Here is a 21159-nt window from a genome sequence, read left to right on the forward strand (position 1 = left end):
CTTCTGGGAAGTGTGCTTTCTCTTTGTAAGCCTTCCAGGGAATTCTGGGCACTGAGCAAGCACTTCTGTCAAGAGACCTACTGTGTCTCTTTGGCAATTTTTTTTGTGTAGTGGAAACTTGCACAATAACCTCCAAATCTTCCTGTCTTCCTTCCTAATTTTTTCCTCACCCTGAGAACCCTAGGTTTGCACCTCTCAAATAAAGTCCCAGCATTGTAATTCTTGCCTTAGGCTCTTATTACTAGAGGACCTGGGCTAAGGCATGGCCTTGGTTTAGATATCTCTAAAGACTCTTTCTGCTGTGACATAATAGACTGGTACAAAATTCCATACTTCCAATACCTAAGGATAAAAAAATTTATGTATATATACTGTACTGGAAATAAAACACCATTTAATTCCTGCAGAGATTAGTTTCTGAGGTATGCCAGGGGTCTTGCTTGTTATAATTCCAATTGGACCAAGAGAGAAAGTTATAATAATTATTAATAATGTTTATTATGTTTTATATGCTAGGCCTTGGGTTAAGTACTTTAAAGGCATTTAGTGTTTGATCTTCACTCTAACCTTACTGGGTTCTTTTATCCTCATTTTACACAAGAGGAAGATGAAGTTCAGCGAGGATAAGCCACTTATCCTAAATTGCACAGTAAATGGCCAAGCCAGAAAATGAAACTAGGTCTGATGGATTCCAAAGACCATGTTCATAATTTTCAAAACTCTGTCTTTGAATATATGTTTTACCAATGAAAATATATGAATGGCAAATAAGCACAGGAAAAGATGCTCAACATCCTCAGTCACTAGGAAAATACAAATTAAAATCATGGTAAGATACCACTACATACCCACTAAAATGGCTAGAATTAAAAAGACTGACCAAACCTAGTGCTGGTGAAGATATAGAGGAACCGGAACTCTTGTACACTGCTGATGGGAGTGTAAAATGGTACAATGATTTTGGAAAACAGTGGTAGTTTCTTAAAAAGTTAAACATAAATTGATCATATGACCCAGCCATTCAACTACCAGGTATTTAACCAAAGAAAAATAAAAACATATGTCTACACAAAGATTTGTATGCAAATGTTCATGACAACTTTATTTGTAATAGCCAAAAACTAGAAACCCTCCAAATGTTCATGGGCAGCAGGTGGAGGAACAAATTGTGGTACACCCGTCTTCTTTTGATGACCCAATTGATTTCACATCACCTTCTGTACTTTCTCCAGTTCCCCAAGTATCTTCTGCCATTGAGGCCAGATCTGCCCATCTATACACTATCAGGAGAAACTGGAGGCTTCTATTTTTCATGTTCACCCTGTTGAGAGAACCCACAGTCTGGTGGGAGAGACAGATACACAAGTCAGCCATCCCAGCAGCTGTCTTGTGTGATGTTCTATGAAAGAGAGGCTGTGTGCTACCCCAGGAACAAGGAAGATGCAGGATAGCAATGAAAGAAGGCTTCTCAAATATGCCACAGCTGGATGCAGAACAGGGAATGGGGAGTGAGTATCTGTCAGACAGAAGTGGAAGGAGAGCATTCCAGACAGGGTATGGAATCTCCTTCCTCAAGGGCAAGGACTTTGGAGTATCTGGGATGTTGATGGTCTGGTGTGACCAAAACTCAGTGGGAGATGAGGCTGAAGGGTAAGCCAGGGCTTGATCATGGAAGGAAGTCTTAGTGTGTGTGCCGAAGGGTATGGGCTCAAATTTGAGGGCACTAAACAGGCACGGAAGGTTCCAAGCCTGGAACTCACAGCTGCAGCTCACTCTGGTGGGTTTATTCATGGGGCCCTGCTCAAATCTTCCCTAGCAAAGCTGCTTTCTCTCTAGATCGGGGTTTCTCAACAGCAACACTATCATTTGAGGCTGGATTATTCTTTGTTGGGGGTGGGGGCTGTTCTGTGCATCAGAGGCTGTTCAGCAACAGCATCCTTAGCCTCTATTCACTAGATTCTGGTAGCACTTCCCCAGTTTCCACAACCAACAACGTCTTCAAACATTACCAGAAGTCCCCTGGGTGGCAAAATAGCTCCTGATTGAGAATCCCTGATTTGTTTTTCTTTTTTGTGAATATGTACACAGATGACTCCTCCTGTATTTGTCCTCTTCCCTCTCCCCAAGGCCTGGCAATGTCCTGCTTCCAGCCTTTCCATGAGGGACACTGGATGCTGCCATTGGCTCCCTGCATTGCCTTATTTCAGCACCTGTGGCTCATGCTCGTGGAGCTGGGGCTGGTTGTGGGGAAGCAGCTGCCAATAGCTCTGTCTACCTCTGGATCGGGTCAGTAAGGCACCTCATCTCCTGCAGGGCACACCATGTAGTGTCCAGGAGCTTCCCGGTTGGATTCCCACCCCAAGGTCAGCTGGGAACAGAACTGTCCAAGCCTGTTGGCCCTGTACCCTCTGTCCGTCAGTCTCACTGTCTGCTACGCTGCAGTCTGGAGGGAAGCATCAGCTCAGGAAGCCTGCCAGGGAGAGGGCAGCAGGCCGGGGACAGAGGGCAGGTGGTGGTAGCTGGAGACCATGTGACTCCTGGAGGCTGTGTGTGTCACAGGGCAGAGCTGGCCACTGGCTCTTCCCTTGGCTCAGCCTGAGAAGCCTTCACATGACATCTCTGTGGGAGCCTTCATGTTGTGGGCAGAGGAGAGGGAGGTGGGAGGGAAGAGGGAAGTGTTTTTAGGATCCAAGCTAGAAATACAAAATACATTTGTGAATCACAAGCTGATCCTCATCACATGACCACAATAGCTTTGCCAATGCAGAAATCAGGCTTCGGACACACATACGAAAAAATCTATCCTGCCCCTGCTATGTCTGGGCTGTGGTGGCCAAGAGAGTAAGAGAGTAAGAAAGTGGGGCACTGGAATTGGAGCAGGAGGCCAGGGAGCCAGCTATGCAGCCGGTCTCCATGTCCCAAAGCGTCACCAAAACCAGAACACAAAACCAGCCCCCATTCCAGCATTTTCTACATGCTTATTCATATGGTAATCTCATAACAGCCACATTTCCCAGTGGAAAACCGAGGCCCAGAGTGATTCCTCCATGTTCCATTTTCTTCCTTCCTTAGAGTTTCCAGGGTTCAATCTATATATATAATATTTTATTTTATTAATAAATATTAATAAAATTAATATATAATATATATAATAAAATTTATTAATAAAATTAATATATAATATAATATATAAAATATAATAACAATTGATATATATATAATATAAAATTTATATATATATAAATTTTTTTTTTACTTGTGCCATCAGCTCACTCTATCTCTCTGTGTCCCCAAACTGCATAGGGCAGGTCCTTCCTGCTGAAGGGATGTGGCGAGGATCCTGAAATTATCCCCACTCCATAAGAGAGAACTCCAGGCAGGCTGGGGCTCAAAGTCCCAAGTCTAAGAGGTTAGAAGTGCATGGGACTCTGAGTCAGGCTAGTCTAAACGGCTGCCAGGGTAAGAATGGGCCTGGCAAGCCTCTGAAAGCCCTGGAGCCTCCTTCCCCTCAGCAATGAGAGGAAAACCCCGAGGGTTCCACCAGCAGCCCCACCTCACCACCCACAGCGGGCCAAGAGCTTTATTTAGCTGAACTGAAATCTCACAGACCTGGAACATGACTCCTAAGCTGGTGTCCTTGCTGCCTAAGAGGACAAAAGCTCGTGAGTGGGCTTGGCCCCTCTGGGAAGACAGCCACCTGCCTCGTGCTTGCTGATTGTCTCACCTCGAGGGCTCTTACTTTTAAAATAACATTTAATATATTTAATCTCATTACTTAAGCAAGATCTATTCAGTGTAGAATATTTGGGAAATCCAGAAAAGTATCAACAAGGAAATTAAGTTTACCATAATCTTACCAATTAGAGACAAGCACTGTTAGAGTATTAATAGTTTTCTCCTTGATTCTTGAGTCATGGATATGTGTATAGTTCCAAAAAGCAAAACCAGAATTATGTTTTATATACATTTAAAAAGATAATGAGTTCTAACATACTATAGTAAAAGGCACAGTTCTCAAGTGTGCAGCTCAGTACATTTTCAATTTGTTACACCCTTGAGAACGTCACTCAGATCACAATATAGAGCATTGCCAGACCCCAGAGAGCCCACCCTGCCCTTCCTCAGTCAATAGCTACACGCCACCTCCAAGAAGTCATCAGTCTTGTGACTTCCATTGTTGTAGATTACATCTGCCTATTCCCGAGCATTGCACACATGGATTCATACACTATGTCCTTTTGTGTCTGGCTTCACTCACCCAATCTGTAGCATCTGCCACAAGCCTGGCCTCGAAAAAGCATGCCACATTGGCACGTTAAATGTATATGAGGTGCATGCTGAGGATTGAATGAATGAGTGAGTGAATGAATGAATGAGAGAATAGGCTTTAGCTGAGGTGTGGTCTCCCAACAGGATCCTGTGTTTTTAGTAACTATAATACCTGGTAGGCCACGGGGAAAGGGAGAGCAGGCAGGTGGCTGGTGGAATAGTCTGGGTGAGAAGAGGCGGCAACCCGAACTAGAAGGACGGTGGTGGGGACAGTGAGGAGGGAGCAGGTTGTACATGCCTGTCCCATCTGCCTGGCACTCATGAGCCCCATGAGAAGCAGGACAGATGTATTTTTAGAAATCCCCTCATACAGAGTAGCCACTCGACACTGTGTGGCTGCCTCACTGCCACAGAGTCCCAGGGACCAATGCCGAGCCCCCACAGGGGTCAAGCTTCTGGGCTGTGAGCTCACAACCCCCTACCGCCCTGCTGAGCAGGCAAGAATCATGCTCAGGTGATGAACAAGCACAAGGCAAGAGGACCCAGATGACCCTGGAGAGCATCCCACTGGAAAACGCAAGCACGTGGCTCATGGAGAAATGGGTGCTGTTGCCCTGCACCCCCAAAAAGAGATTCTTACTCCCTAGGATCAGAGGCATGGCATGGCTCCAAGCCAGGGTAGCCCCTGTACAGTTTAAAGGTGCCAGGGTTGGAAAGGACCCCTCTTCTGCCCTCACCCCGCCCAGTGCTTGAGCTCCCTTTGACATTCTTTTCAACACGGGCTCAGCTTTCATGCCTCCTTTTCCCTTTACTCCATAATCAGCACCCTAGACTTAGCCACCACTATCTCTCGCCTGCTCTGTCTTGCCACCTTCTTTCTCCGTCTGCTCCTGCTCCCTCTTATCCTCTTATCTGTCTCACCCTGCAGCCGGGAGTCGTTGCTCGCCATAGATGTAGCTTGTGACAAAGTGGCTGGACCCTGCCAGAGAAGGAGCAATGTTATTGGAGAGGGACGGAGCCAGAGCAGCAGGAGAGAGCCGCTGGGCCATGCCGGTGGGAGGAGGAGCCACGGAAAGGACAGTGCCCCGGGAGCCACCAGCAGCAAGGGTAAGATGTTTAATGGAGGGACAGGGCAGGCAGTGCTTGGATGGCACAGGTAGGTCTGGTACCAGGCAGGATTTTATTGTTTGATGAAGATTCATTGCCCTTGATTCTTCTCCTTGGGCTTGTACTTAATGATGGTGAGAGATGAGGAGGATGAAGGGGAGGTGCATACTCTTTTTCCTGAATGACAAAGCTGGGAGCTGGCGATGGCTTTGGGAATATGGGAAGTCAGTTTTCAGAAAGCTATTGGAGTAAAAGATTGTCATGTTATAAACTTCTAAACCACAGATGAACAGGCTTGAACAAACTGTTAGAACACCTAGTGTTGATTATTGAGAGTGTTTCTGCAGTGTGTGACTTGGCATGGTTCATTCGTGCTGTCCCTGAGAACAGTGACATTTCAGATTAGCAGTATTTTGGGGTTCCACTTGAAAAGAGCCCACCCCTCAGCTGACTGGTGCTGTCCTCTGCTGGGTGATTTAATGGTCAGGCATGCTTGGTGGAGAGGAAGCAGCATCACGGCAAGGCACCTGTACCCATCTGCCAGTTTGGATGAAGTGCCAAATCACAGGGTCAGTAATGCTTCTTGGCCAGAAAACATGAGCTGAGCAGCTGTCCCTGCCTGCTATCCATGAGAGGTCCTCTTACCAATTCAGCCTCAGGGAGGGAGAGAGTCCCCTGTAGTCAGACGGGTATGTGAGTGTCACAGCTAGGGGCAGAGGGAGACCAGGGAACCTGCCCTTAGCCACTCACACAGATATGAATCCAGGAAGCTGAAAGGGAGCTCTTTCAGGCCAGGATGGAGGATACTCCCAGCATCCCCTATGGTCAGATGCATGGGTCCTTGGAGCACTCAGGGACCAGCCTAGGAGAAGAGATGGGAGCTGAACGTGTTATAGTTAAATAATTCCTAGATTGCAGAACATCTCCCAGCTTCATTTTTCTGTTTTGTAAAATGAATATAAATGAGATGAAGGATGCAAAATGCCCATAAACTGAATGGCATTATTTGAGTCTAAGTCATTATTTGCCCTGAAATTTTTGCATTTAACATTTTTGTCAACAATTTGGAGGCAGATACTGGATGCAGGCTTATCAAACATGTACAGAAAATAAAGCTGGGAGGGCTAGCTGAAACACAGCTATAGAGGACTCCAGATTGCAGAATCTGAAAGCTCAACTCTCCCCTGGCTTCCTTCCCCTGGATGCCTTCTCTGTGTGACCCTCAGAAAGCACAGTGCCCCTAACAGAACTCCATTTTTTCGTGGTGTGGCTGCTGCTTCTCTGTAGTGGGCAGAGAGGCCAGGGATACTCCTAAACACCCTACCATGCTCAGGGTTTCTCTGTCTCAGCAGTATTGACGTTGTGGACCAGATCATGGTGTTGTGGGAGCTGTCCACACGGTAGTATGGTAGGATGTTTAGCAGCATTCCTGGCCTCTGCGCTATAGATGTTAGTAGCACTGCTGCTCCTCTCTTTGTGACAAACAAGTGTCCCTGGGGTACAAAACTGTCCCTGGTTAAAACCTCTGCTCTAGATTCATCCTTTGCACTTCCCTGCCTGCATGGTAGCTCCTCTGGTCACGTCAAAGTTCTCATAGTTCCTTAAATAAACAAAACTTTTCCACATCTTTCCCAGAACTTTGCATGCACAGATCCCTTCCCACTCCTGCCTTTGCCACTTCATAAAATCCTGTGTATCCTTGAAAACTCATCCGAAGCATCCCTTCCTTGCAGACGCCACCCCAGATGCTCCCGGACAGCTAGTGCACTCACAGCAAAGTTCTCCTGGAGCCCTGAGTGCATGGATTTAATTTTTCTTTTTGCTTGTGATGGTCTCTCCCACTGGACTATAAGCTTCTTGAGGGTAAGTCCTGGATCTTTCTCACCTTTGCTCCCCAGTGCCTGGGAAGTATGGCCTAGCACAGAGTGGGTGCTTAGTGAATCCACCTTGAGTAACATTGTTTAATGGATCACTACTGGCTGGTCACGGGACATACAATGCTGTAGGCAAAAAGCATATTTTCTGGATCTTAATCATGTAAAGGGTCCAGTACTCCACCCTCAGGTATCAGAGCACCTCATCTCTTTTGCAGAGAAAAAAATAACTTATTTTAATCTCCAGGATGCTAGAGAGGTTTAGAGAAGTTTCCTCCTGCGAAAACCTTTTTCAGGCTCTGCCTTTGAGAAAACACTGAAAGGATAGCAGCAGGTAGCACTTTCTCTTCAAAAGATGCCTGAGGATGGGCACCAATCCCAGCCAACCTTTCTGCCTGTGTTGGGAGCAAGGGGCTCCACCTAGTCTTTCTTGAATACAAATGTGATCCGTCGGGTCCAACAGCAAAGCCCCGCCCTCCACTGCCAGGACTCTGGGCTGCGGGACTTTCTCCAGCTCTCCCCTCTGCATTGTCAAAACGGGAACAGACTGAGCAGAAGGAACGCGTTTGTGCTGAGACCAGAGCCAGGGCAGTACGCAGCAGATCCAGACAATCTGCTCTGCTCCTCCCAAGGAGAGAGGAAAGGCTTTTATTTCTTGCTGACAAGCAAGTCTGCAATGGGAAAATCTCTGGGGGACCAAAGCTAAGCCAAGTGAGAGATGCACGCCCCACACTGGTGTGCCTCACCTGCCTTTATACAGCCAGGCTTCAGTGTGTGTGTGTGTGTGTGTGTGTGTGTGTGTGTTAGGGGTGGTGGTGGTGATGTGCATGCATTAAAAGAAAACTCATGAACTGTCAGACACAAAATATCAAGTGCCCCCACTGCTTGGACACCTTCAGTGACAGGGACTTCTCACCATCTTAACAACTGTTAGACAGCTCTGTCTAGTAGAAAGCTTTTGGTCACTCTGGTGGTTTACCCTTTGGTCCTAAGTCCAATTCTTTGTTCTGTTTAGAATTGGTGCAATCCTTTTTCCCCAGGAAGGATTGTCAGAGGCAACCACTTTACCAGCCAAATCCCTTCTTCTGGCTAGAGACCCAGTTCTTTCAACTCTTTTCCATGTGACACAGTTTTGAGTCTTCTCCCTTCCTGATCACCCTTTTCTCATCAGTGCAATAGGTAATACAATACTTTTGTTTTTTCTGCAGTTCTCAGAGAGTAAGTTATTTGGGGTGGACATGTTTTCCACACAGCTGAAGAGCAACAGAATTTTAAAAAAAAGCACAATGGAAAAATTGTCAGCATGCAGGATACAAGTCCCTTTTAGACTGTGTACATCCCTGCCAGTTCTCTCTCTGACGTTTCTCACTATCTCTGACTTCATCTCTCACTACTTCCTCCCATGTATCTTCTTGCACCTCTTTGTACAACACCTTCCAACAAGATTGGACTCTTGTGCTATTCCTGAAAACACTAGGACCAATGAGAGGAAGCCAGAAGAAGTCACCTGATACCTGGATGCCTGGCACCTGGATACGAGAAGCACCTTCTAATGGCCAAAGAGTTCACCGCTGGGAAGGGTGACACCAGCTGGGGGTGAGCTCTCCACTGTGAAGGTGTGTGGATGGAGGCTTCTGGTAGGGAAGTTCTTGACAGGCCTGGACTTAACAAATCTGCTAGGTACTTGCCGTCTCTTTCAGCCCTGTGATTTTGTGATTGTGGGCAAAGATTCCGTAAGGGCGTGTGTGTGTGTGTGTGTGTGTGTGTGTGTGTGTGTGTGTGTAATGAGGACTCTGGGGTATCCTTTTGACAGCTGTGGGAGGGGGAGCAGAAAGCCATTTCCTTCAGCCGGGCTGCCGTAGGGCTGGCAACTGAGCATGCCTGACTCAGTCCGTGGCTGAGCTGAGCTGCTCAAGAAGAGGGGAGGCACAGTGTGGTGACAGACAGGAAGAAAGAGGGCCTGGTGCAGTCTCCCATGCTGGGGAACTTGCGGGTCAGGAGGATTTTGAGGGCCCATAGGTAAGTGTCTATCCCCGCCCCCCAACTCAGGGGCACAAGCCAGGTCTCTAATTGGTCTGAGTGTGTGGACAGTTCTGAAAAGTGTAGGGCTGGAGCCTGTGACATTATTCTGGAACAATTTGCCAGATTTCTGGACACGAGAGTGGCCACTGGTCTTATCATAAATGTGGGATGTCAGCATTTTCTAAGACTCCTGGAGTCTCAGGTCTGGGAGGACTTCTCCATGTTTCTTGTTCAGCCCCTCAGAAGCTGGCACACCATCACAAGCTATCATCCAGCCTTTTCTGGAACATCTCAGCATTTGATTAAAAGAAGTAACGGATGGAAATTATCTCCCACTGGCAGGTAGATAAACAAATTCCTTCCCTTTTCTTTCCTGTGAGTGACAGAAAGCTCACTGCCTTCTGAGGCAACTCATTCCATCTTTGGATGGCTTTGAGCTGAAGTCTGTTTAGTTGAGTGCACTGCAGGACATATTCTTATCACTCTCATGTTATCTGGGGAATCAGATGTTCTTATTACTATTGCTTATAAGAAATACTACTACTTACAGCCACTGTTAGGTGAGCTCTACCTTGTGCCAGGTACCAGGTTAAGTACTTAACTAAACATGAATGTCAGGTCTATGGAAACTTCAAATCCCACTGGGCCATAGCTGGATGGTCCCCAGAAGTCAATCTAGTTCTCATGTTCCTGGTTAAATCAAAGCTCAGACCCTAAGCCACGAACCTAGATCTGTCATGGATCAATGAAAATAGAGTTTTCCTAAAGGGGGCTGTGGCCACATGGATTTCTGGATACCCCCATTTTCCTGTGGTTTCTGGGAAGCCAGTTCTTCACAAATGTGAAGTTAGTGGCTAGCCCCCTGGGTCACCCAGAGAGCTTACCTAGAATGGCCCCATCCTAGGGCCCCCATCCAAGAGACAAGGTCAAAACTTGAAGTCCAAATGCTGCAGGGGCCAGGAGGGGGTAGATAAGCAAAGCTAAAGCCTTGCTTTTGTGTCTCTCCTGAATTCCCTGGGAGGCACCTATGAAGCAGGAGTCTAAGAGGCAGGAAATATGGTTCTGTATTGAGGCTCTGCCACTTTCTGTGCAGCCAGGTAAGCTATTGCATCTCTCTTGCCTCAGTTTCCTCATCTAAAAATGGATCTAAGAATTGTAGCCACCACTCAGGGCTGTTGTGAGGACGTGGGGGACTCAGCTGGTGACAATTGGTGTCATGATTTCCTTCACTCTAGCCAAGGTGGACCAGGCGAAGTCTGAACAAAAAGAGTTTCTGCAAGGTTCAGGGGAAATGAAAGGACTTCTCTGGCCACCTTAGACAGCAGAGAGGGACAAATGACAGTCTTAGATCAGATTCCCTAGAAGCAGAGCCTGAGGCAAGGATTTAGGTACACGTGATTTACTGGGGGAGTGTTCTTCAGGAAAAACCTGCAAGGGAGAGAGGAAAGGAAGCAGGATAGGAGCAGGGAGAGAGACAAACACAGGCGTGGTCAAGGGCCAGGCTACCAGATAAAATACAGGATGCCCAGGTCAATTTGCATTTCAGATGAACAATGAGTAATTTCTTACTATAAGTATGTTGCAAGTCTTGCATGAGGCCTACTTATACTCAAAACGTATCCTTAGTTTATTTGAAATGCAAATACAGCCGGGTATCTTGTATTTTTATTTGCTAAATCTGGTAACCCAGTCTAAGCTAGTCAATCAGCCCCATTTGCCCAAAACTGATGGGATACGGGAATTTCAGTGTAAAACTGAAATTCAGGCTGGTCATCATAAACTGTGATCTCAGGGAAAGCCAGCCTTGGCCTGATCCTTGGAGAGGGGGTAGAAGTGGACTGACTCTCTGGAGCCTAAAGCATACCGCAGAGGTGTCCCTTCCTGAGGGGAGGGAACTGCCCTTTTGCATTTCTGTGTCACTTAGTCATTGCCTGTGGTGGCAGTGATTGGGGAGCAGGTATGGGGAGAAAGTTGTAATCTCGTGGAGATGCAGCTTCTGTCTTCTGAGAGCCATTCTCTGGAGAAGGGGGGCATCATTGAGTCATTAGCAGGCAAACAGGTGACATTTAGCAGCTGGGGGCAGGGGGTGTGCATTGGTCCTTAAAAGGGGAGCTGGTGGGACACCGTAGCATCTTCTACACTGTCTGTATCCCTCCAGCCCAGAGGCCCTGCTCCACCCTCAGAAGAGGTGAAAACTAGGCCTGACTCAAATTCCATGGATGAACCGCATATTTCCTCTGATTGTAGGCTGGGTGCCAGGATAACTCCAGCACAGACTGGTCTGAGACGGCTACCACGTTCACAGAGAACACTAAGGACACAGAGAAGAGAGGAGGGGTGAATTATTCCTGACTGGGAGAAAGAGGGCCAGACAAGATTTCACATAGGGAGCAATATCTGAACCTTGAAAGTAGGTGACAGTCTGATGAGGGTTGGGGGTAGAGAGGTGGAGTGGTGGCTGGTGGCTGGTGGCTGATGGGTAGTAGTGGTGAGAAGGGCGTGGCCAAGGTGTGAAGGTCAAAGTCATGGAGGTCAAGGTGTGTAGGTCTTCTCATCAAGTCCTCCAAGAAGCAGGTACAAAGAGCAGGGGCCTCTTTTCCCCAAACTGGCCCCTAAGCCAGGTGAGCATAAGGCCTTCCCAGGCTGCAGATTCTGGGTCAGGTTTTGCCTGCACTGACAAAGCATCTGGTCTCCGCAAAGTGCCTAATGATTTATTTTTTGACCAAGCTAATGCTTTGAAAAACTGCTGGCGGCCCTCCTGACCTGGGGATGCCCGGGCACCTGGGGAACGTCCCAGCTCCTGGCGGGGAGGCCCCGCCACCCAGGCCTGGCCCAGATCCATGGGAAGACAAGCTTCCTTCTCACCTTTCCAGTGTGTCCTGAAACCAGAAGCCCCATGACACTGGCTCCTCTTTCACTGCTCTGGGATTTCGGCTCTGGCCAAGGCAGGAACACCCATGCTGCAGAGAAGCCTGAGAAGCCACTGGGACCAAGATGCAGGGAGGGTCAGCTGGGGAGAGCGATGGGATTCGTCCCAAATCAGTGTCCCCATTTCTGGGCTGAGCTCAGCCTAGCACTGCTAAAGCTCAGCACCCGAGCCTTCCCACTGGCTCTGTAATTTCTTTTCAGCCCCTTGCTGAGGGACACAGGGCTATTGTGACTTTATTTCAACCACTTACTTGCTGTGTGACCTTGTACATGTCACCTGGCCTTCCTGAGCCCTCTCTCACATCCTCACTAAGGATGAAAACATCAGCACTAGTGACTAGCAGTCTTGTCGCGTTTGCCAGCTTTCAAAGCAGCACACTCACATGCATTCTCTAATTGCAACATCTCTGCAAATTGTGAAGTGGGTGAGTGGGCAAGGGACATTATTATCTCTATTTTAGGGATGAATGTGACTTGGCCTCATGTTACAGCTGCTAGACTCCTGGGCTCAGGACCCCTGACACTAGGACACGAAGAAGACAATAATCTCTTATCAGAGTCTCCAGGAAATGTCTGAACCAGAATCTGCAATTTTAAAGGCTTGAATATGGGGACTCAGGGGGCATTTGGTTCCCACATGTTTAATGACACTTTCAGAAACTAGGCTACAGAGGGAAGTACATCCTACGATGGGCTCTGTATTCTGTTTCCAGCACAGTCTGATGTGGATTCAAATCTCAGCTCTCCTCTCTCAAAAATGCAGTAAGCTATAATCCAAATTGACTGTTGGGAGGAAAAACATGGGATTTGACAACATGGGGTTTCTCTGGGACCCTTTAGTGCCCACAAGGCCTTTTCTGGTGTCCTTTTTAGATTCTGACATGTCTGTATTTCAGATGACTCATCAACTGAAGAAGTAGACCAAGGAAGTGCAGATGGGGTTCTGAGGTGGGAAAGGTCTCTTCTCATTGGGGTGGGAGGGTGAGGAGAGGAGCAGAACGAGGGAAAGAAAATAACAGAAACAGTGTTAATGAAGATTGCTGATTTTTTAGAGAGCCGAAAAAGTAACAATGGGGGAGGTCTGAGATTTGGGGCCAGCATGCAGTTGGTAGCCAGACACATAGATTTAAGTCCCAGCACAGCCACTTACCAGCTAAGTGAGGCCAGTCCCGGATCTCTGTGGGCCTCAATCTCCTCACCTGAAACCTGGTGCAGGCAGGACCACCCCTTCGCTCCGTTGTCAAGGTCCAGATGTCCCTGGTGTCCAACAGGGCTTGACTACAGCAGGCACTTAATATGTGCTAACTCCGTGCATCCCCCCTCCTTTTTCCTAAGTGGATTATGAATCTAGGAAATATGAAACCTCCTTTCACCCAAACAAAAACTCTGTCATCTTAGACAAATCTGATAAAATTAATATTTAAGTTGAAAAAGTGTTCTGCATGAATGATGACCCCATTGACTTATTTTCCTCTGACCTTGCTCACCACCCCTTCCCCAACACACACACACACACACACACACACACACACACACACACACACACACACACACTCTCCTCTCCCACCAATAAAACTAGACTGGCATGAGGAGAAAAGGCCAGGCTGTCATGATCCCAGCATCCTGCCCACATAAACTTGGAGGCAGAACAGGCCCATATGGAGCCTCTGGGGACTGGGGTCTCTGCTGGTCCCCACAGTAGGTGCCAAGAACAGTTCACAGCCCAGCACGTGGCCGCACTGCCCACTCTGCTCCGTGAGGACAGGGCCTCGCTGTCCCCTGAAGGACTCTGGCAAAATAGCCTGCCAAAGACCTCAATCTGATTAAAGAAAGGAAGGACATTGGAGAAAGGAAGAAATAAACGAAAGAAAAATGATGGAGAGAAGGGGAGAGAGAGAAGGAGAGAGGCCCGGTACAAGTGTGAAATCAGAAGAACAGACTGAGGATGGTGAGATGCATGTGAACAGTGTGACGTGGGCAACCCCCACAAATAGACCTTCTGTTAAAAATAGCCTTTGTCTAAATGTGGAAAGGGTGTAAATATAGTAGCGGTTTCGGCTTACTACGGAGCCGCCCCTGCTCCAAGTAACAGAGGCTTATTATAGGAAGCGTGCGTCAGCAGCGGGAGGGGAGGAGAGGGATAGAGAAGCCCCGGGCCGTGGGTACAGTACCCCCCAGCAGGAGGGGGGTCAGCCAGCCAGCGTAGCCCTATTGGGGGCAAGCGGCCCGGATGGCTCTGAAACGCTCTCACAGAGTTCCTCTGGGCAGAAAACTCTAGCCGAGCTGTGGGAGGAAAGGAGGAAGGAAGGGATCGCTGTGCTGAAAAGGATCTAGCCTTGTCTCGGCGATGCCGCTCACTTTCATCTGGGATTTCAGCAGGCATTGCGTCCTGTGTGCAGCAGGCTGCTCGCTCCTGGACACCGCAGGAAGTTTTCAAAGGAACCCCCTGGAACGACCAGCCTGCAGGCAAGCCGGTTTCCTCAGCCCTGAGCACAGAGGACAAACGTCTAGAAAATCAGTGGAAAGTGCCGGAAAGGAGTTTGATTCAAGTTTTTTGTTTTTGTTTTTGTTTTTAAGACCGGGTTTTCATGTCTGTGTCTCTGGTATCACGTGCTAAGTAGGTGCCTGGGGCACAGTGGCGGGACTCCTGAGCTGGACAGCTGGGAGTTGCTGCAGGCGCTGCCTTCCAGTATGATGCATGACCAAGGCAACAAAACTGTTTTGGGAAGCTCACTGCTCTGCTTTCTGCAGCTACAGAGATGGCCAAGGGTTGAGTGCCCATGTGGGTGTTAAGACCTACTCCTGCCTGTGTGTCTCCCCTCCAAGCCTTTGGGGGCCCTCATTATCCCCTAGTCTGTCACCCTTTAACCCAGTGCCCTCTCCTCCCAGCCCAGGACATGTGCATGCATGCATCACTATCCACACATACGCCCAACACACATACATGCACTCATGCACACCCACATTCAATTCGGGCCCTGCGGCCCTTTCCAGCAGTAGCCCTCACACTAGCGGCCCTGGCGTCCCACCCTGGCCCTGCGCTCTCATGGAGTCCCTTCATCTGCTCTGCCCCTGCCCTCTGGCTCATCACTAGCCTTGAGCTTGCCTCTTGGATGTAAGGCAAACCTGGCTCCTCCAAGTGGATCTGCACTTCTCCTCGGATATGATTTGGGCTTGTGTGCTTGTGCTGCCCCTCAAGCCAGCCTGGGTGACCGCCTCACTGCTCACGCCCCAGACTGAATGCCAATGCCCTTATCATGTTTCACTGACCTGCTCCTCAGGACTGATCTTCAACCTGTCAGCTACTCCCCAGCATCATCCAAACTGCTCTGAAAACCACCTTTCCAAAATGCAGAGCCAGCAGTGTCACTGCCCCACTCAAAATGCTCTCAACAGCTCCCCACTGCCTGTAAGATAAAGTCCAAACCTTGGAAGGCCCGACTTGACCCCCATCTGCTTTTCCAGCTGTGTCACCTGCTACCCTACCCTATCCTATACGGTGCCTACACAGGGTCTGAAGGTGGGTGATTACACTCGGGAATCTCCCCCTTCATGCCTTTGCAGGGACCATGCTGTTTCCTTAGGCTACAATACTTCTCCTCCAAGTCTCTGCACATCAGGATCCTACCCATCCTTCAGGGCCCCAGTTCCAGAAGGCTGCCCACTTCTTCTAGGAAGCCTTCTTGGATCTATCTCCCCTCCCACAGCAACTACCTTTTATTTTTTTTTTCACTCCTTCTGCAAACCCAAGTCATTTTTGTATATTTGGAAAATGAATCAAGAGGCCCACTACTGCATCTGGGTGTGGTGCCCTCCCCTGCCTTCCAACAGAGCCTGCAAGTCCCTCCACCACCAGAATGCTTGTTACTCTGTGTTGGAGTTGCCTGTTTATCCAACGGTCTCCCCACTGGAGTCTAACTTCTTAGGGAAGGGTCTGGATGACCTTGTTCAGGCCATATCCCCAGTGCCTAGCACAGCACCAGGCTTATTACACTAAATGAACTGGGCCTCCAGGGCTGTATACTTCTGCTATGTAGTGAATGTTTGCATTCCTCCCAAATTTATGTTGAAACCCTAATCCCCAGAGTAATAGTTTTTGGAGATGGGGCCTTTGGGAGGTAATGAGGTGATGAGGACAGGACCCTCGTGGTGGGATTAGTGCCTGTATAAAGAGCGACAGGAGAGAGTGTGCTTCCTCTCTCTGCTCTCCGCCATGTAAAGACACAGCAAGGAGATGTCAAGCCAGGGCCCTCCCCAGAATCCAACCATGCTGGCACACTCAACATGCACTTCCCAGCTCCAGAACCATGAGAACTAAATTTCTGTGATTTCATCTACCCAGCCTAGAGTATTTGTTATAGCGGCTGGAGCTGACAAAGACAACTTCCTTACCTTTTCCAGATGTTCCCATCTGTTTTCAGGCCCCTCTGCTATTTTCTGCTGACCCTGCCATTGGCGCTGATACTGGTGCAAGAGCCACTTGGGTACAATCCTGAGATGATGGGCTTGGAGTCAGAAGAACTAGGTGAGAGTTTCAGCTGTGCCTCTTACCTGCCTGCCAGTGGGCAATTCATTTTTCCTCTCCCAACAGTCTTCTCAGCCATGAAAAGAAGTGACAGCAGTCACTGCATGGGGTTGCTGTGAGGACTAAGTGAGAGTGTGGAGCTGAAATCCTCTGACAAACTGTGCAGTGCTCTTCAGATGTCGGGACCTTTGTTGCAGCCCTCACCTACTCTCCACCTCGGCTGTGCTTTGGAAACCTGCCCAGGCACCAGCTATGTCGACTCCCGCTGCCATTCAGGCCCATAAGGATATCCCAGAAAATAATTTTGCCACCTCTCTATGTTAACAGCTCGAAATCTCCAGACACTTCTGATTACCAGGATTTTGAGTACATGACGGTTTTCTTCCTCAAAATTCTTAAATAGCAAAAAGGCTTGAATGACAGTCAGGACTGGCAGAAGTTGGACTGTCATTGTGAACCAAGGAAGGAGGCTGCAAAAGGAAATGGGAAGAAAGTGGATATGCTGATAGCCAGGCTGGTGCTCTTCCAGGTAAGTCTACCTGCCCTGGCCCCAGGCGGCCCTGTCCTGGGCTTGGCTGGTCCTGCAGGTTCCCAGGATACAGCAGAACTAGTGGATGGCCTGGAAAGCAAGTATTTAGGCAGATCGTATCTTCTGCCTGGAGAGAATGTGAATACTGTGGAAAGAGCCAGGCCATGAATTCTGCAGAGCCCAGCTCCAGTTCCTATTCTGTCCCCTTACTAACAGGGTACATTGAGCAAGTCTCCTAATCCATTAGACCCTCAGTTCTTCATTGCTAAATAGAAATCATTTTGATGAGAATCAAAATCAAATGTGACCATTTATGAAAATTGTATGCATAGTACCTGTGATCAATAAATGGCAATTGAAACTAATTCTAAATCTATTTCTCCAGACTAGTATTTCATGCTGCTAGGAAACAAGCAAAGACAAGTGATTTAGAAAACTAAGGTGCTGGGGTAGATATTTTTTCTTTAATACCTCTCAATCAGGACAAAACAATTTCCACCAGTTGGGCTGAAAAACTTGCCATGGGAGCAAGGATTCTGGGGGAAGGCCAAGAAAGTGGATCACTGTTTGATTATACTAGAAGAATAAGAGACTCAAATTGCTTAGGATCTCCAAAATTTGTCTTTGTAGCCCATTAAATAGAAATTCTTACAGCTAGGATACAATATATGTTTTTAGATGACACACATTAATAGGATTACATTTTGTAGTGTGGGGGCTTCTGGCAGAAATACTTTTCACCAGTCACCAATCCATAATCAATCTATACTTCTCCAGCTATATTCCCCTCCCCATCTGAATCTTTTTTCTATATGCACACGTATGTGCTTTCATGCAACACATAGTCATATGAGTAGGTGGGATGGGGGTGGGTGGAAGAAAGGACAAGAGCTGAAACTTTGAAGGAAGACATTTCTGTTCAAACCATGGCTCTACCTTGTGTTATCTGAGTGGCATGTTGGGGAAAACATTTAAGCTGAAACAAGGATTGTGCCTACAAAACTACCTGCTTATCTACCTCAAAGATGGTTGTAAAGATCAAAGATACTGTGTGCAAAATGCTTATGTAGTGCTAATGGGCTAATGGTATTGTTGCATAAATTCACAACATGCATACACGTAGATATAAATGCTCATCTATATATACAAATATACTGTTCATATGCGTGCACACTGACAAAGAAGCATGCATTCCTACATACACGCACATTCAAATGCAGAATGGAACAATGCCTGTGCACCTTTGCTACATAATCTAATTGAGATGTAGAAAATATATTTTTTTCCTAGGGGTGGTATTCTAAGACATCATTGAACCTGAGTTCCTATAATGTTCTGGGTAAGAGGACCATGGATGTGGGGTACAAGGCTTCTGAAGTAGAGGTGTGGGTCTGAGGCCAAGTACCTGATGTGGATGTTCAAGCAAAAGACATCAGGATTGGGTAGGTGTGGTGGCCATAAGAATATGTCTCCTGAAGAGAGAGTTCAGTTGATCATGGCCTCCAGCTGCTTGCACCCATATTTATGTAGAGGCCACTCTTCCTGTTGGCTGCTTCTAGACAATCAGCAACTGAGTGTGGCAGGGATACTAAGGCAGACCTGTCTCCAAGAAACAGGGAACTTCTCTGATAGGTGACTTTGGCTTGAGGACTCTCTGATGGCCTTGCTATAGGCAGTCTAGGAGCTTCCACCCAAACTTGCTTCCCTCCCTCCTGCACTTAGGTCAGACTTGCATCAAGGTGTGATGGCTCTCCCAGCCTTTCCTCTCTTCTAGCCTCTACCAGCTCCCTCCCCATTTTTATCTCACAGATGTTTCCCCTAGTAAAATCCTCTGTATTGTCCATCCTGTCTTGGTGTCTGCACTGAAGGGGAGTGTAAAATCCCAGGTCACAGAAAGAGCCCAGATAACCTGCACATCCACTCTGTGAGGCAGGGCTTCTGAGCCTTCTTCCAAGGTGAGCGAGTAGGTTTGACAAGCTCTATGACTTTCCCAAGCTCATAAGATTAGAAAGCAGCAGAGCCTGGTCTGGAACCCAAGCTTTCTGATCCCCAAATCCCTGTTCTCTTCTGCTTTGCACTGTCCACTGAGCACTTTCCCAACAGTCTTCACAAGCTTCCTATCATATCCACAATTTTCCCTGTGAAGAGGCAGTGCAAGCTCACCACTCCCATTTTGAAAATGAGAAGCTGAGAGTCAGAAAGGCCAAGTCAATTGCCCAAGGTCATTGGTTAGCAAGTGACAGGGCAGGTATTTCAACCCAATTCTCCTGCCTCCCAACCCAGGTGGGCACCATTTATCACCCTCCATGCTACTTTAGCTCCTGCAAGAAATCTGGGAGTTGCCTGCTCCACCTGCCTGCCACTCCCCACAAATTCAATTTTCCCCCTCTTCCTAGAAGCACAGGCCCTGGGGTCGGGGGGTCCTGGCTGTGCCCAGTATGCAGGGGCCTGGGGTCCAGCCCAGGGATGTGGGGAGAAGCCGCTACTTGCCACAGTTGGAAACCCACTGCTGAGCCTCCTTCCTTTTAGCTTGAAAGTGCTCTAGAGTTTCTGAGCTCACAATGCATCTCTTTGGAAGTCTGCCCTCCCAGGGTTGCCATGGTGACTATTTTGGTACTGCATGCTAGAAAAAGCCGAGGCACCTGCTGGTCACACCACCAAAACTTGTCTCTCTGAAAAATCAGCAGATGGCATTTGTCAGAAATTCCTACTTCTTGATTAATTTGGGAAAAAGAAGAGTGTGTGGCAGTGCTGATATCCTTTAACCTGGACCGGGCGTGTTGGTGTTTCAGGGAGGATGTGAAAAGCTGTGCACAGACCCCATGACCTTCTTCTGAAGTGGTGGGTCATTTAGTTTTCCCAGAGAGGCAAAGAAGTTTGGTGATTTGGAGCCTAGTAAATGAAAACAAGAGAAAGACCATGATGTTGCTTTTGTATTAAGAAGAGTTGAAATTTCAAGGCCAGTTCTGAAGAGGCCTATACCCCACTTCTAGTAACTTCCATGAGTTCTCAAATATGCCTCAGGTTGGGTCCAGCTTTTAATTAGAGGGACGTGTTGAAATCACAAGTTAGATTCAAATCCCAGTTCTGCCACCTATTAATTGTGTGAACTTGGACAGGTCCCTCAGCCCATCTATACCTCAGTTTCCTCATCTGTTAAACAGTGATAATAAAAACATTTACCTCATAAAGTTGTCAAGAGGATTAAATGACATAGCTATTGTTGTTATTGTTATTGACTAGAATTAAATCTAGGCATGGAGAAATTAGCAAGTCCATATGCTCATATAGTTTTACATACAACTTTGCAACTATGCTTCTGAAAGTAAATCAATTAATTTCACTGTCTCAGTCTAAGCAGTGATATTACAGTTGGAGCAACATTAAAAAATACAACAAAAACTTCTGGTGCACATTGTACCATGTGTTTCTACCTTACTCGTTATCTTGTTCTGCTTCCCTTTTCACAGTTTGCAATACTATTTGTTCCCAGTGTTACTTAGCAAACTTTGACTGAACTGGTTCCCTAAGCATGCATTGACTACCACCTCTGAATTTTGGGCCAGGCACTTAAAAGAGTTTTCTGCAGAAGGAATTATGTAGTTTACTGCTTTTCTTTCACCTGTTGGTTCTCTATGAGGAATGAGCCTCAAGTTCCCCACTGGCAATTTTGTTCTATCACAAGTCCTGGTAAGTCCTGGCTGACAAATTCTGGGTACTCTCCTTTCCTGTGGCCATATCAGACATTGCTAATCAATCAGCATTCTTCTTGCTGAATTTTGAAGAACCTGGGAACCTTCCAGAAGTCAGTGCTCAAGGTAGCCACTGCTAATTGATCAGAGGGCAGAAAAGGAAATGTATTTGTCATCCTCATTGTAGGGGAAAAAACCCAGGAATGGATTAAT

The 21159-nt window shown here is 47.5% G+C and overlaps 2 long non-coding RNA genes across 3 annotated transcripts, besides 2 other annotated features; one reads left to right on the forward strand and one right to left on the reverse strand.

Annotated features, from left to right (window-relative positions):
- Positions 1-1078: 1078 nt before the first annotated feature.
- On the reverse strand, positions 1079-20996 carry NAMA (non-protein coding RNA, associated with MAP kinase pathway and growth arrest). 2 transcript variants are annotated; one of them, NR_102270.1, is made up of 10 exons: positions 20877-20996; positions 19745-20146; positions 16593-17195; positions 15471-15607; positions 13400-13547; positions 12138-12282; positions 6127-6238; positions 5439-5616; positions 5124-5248; positions 1079-1341 (listed from the first exon to the last, which is right to left on the reverse strand). It is a non-coding gene; the product is annotated as a non-protein coding RNA, associated with MAP kinase pathway and growth arrest (long non-coding RNA). The 2 variants fall into 2 exon arrangements; NR_102271.1 differs by lacking the exons at positions 5124-5248; positions 5439-5616; positions 6127-6238; positions 15471-15607.
- Positions 5071-17619, forward strand: LOC124902232 (uncharacterized). Its single transcript, XR_007061692.1, has 3 exons — positions 5071-5376; positions 7110-7239; positions 16792-17619. It is a non-coding gene; the product is annotated as an uncharacterized LOC124902232 (long non-coding RNA).
- Positions 14292-14341: an enhancer, noted in NCBI's record as "active region_28709". NCBI's record gives its function as "activates an Ori minimal core promoter by ATAC-STARR-seq in GM12878 lymphoblastoid cells {active_cell/tissue: GM12878}" and the evidence as "EXISTENCE:reporter gene assay evidence [ECO:0000049][PMID:35858748]".
- Positions 14828-15409: an enhancer, noted in NCBI's record as "H3K4me1 hESC enhancer chr9:102131371-102131952 (GRCh37/hg19 assembly coordinates)". NCBI's record gives its function as "activates a minimal SCP1, AML or CMV promoter by ChIP-STARR-seq in primed H9 embryonic stem cells {active_cell/tissue: H9 hESC(primed)}" and the evidence as "EXISTENCE:reporter gene assay evidence [ECO:0000049][PMID:30033119]".
- Positions 20997-21159: the final 163 nt, after the last annotated feature.

Source organism: Homo sapiens, chromosome 9 (genome assembly GCF_000001405.40).
Source record: "Homo sapiens chromosome 9, GRCh38.p14 Primary Assembly".
NCBI lineage: Eukaryota > Metazoa > Chordata > Mammalia > Primates > Hominidae > Homo > Homo sapiens.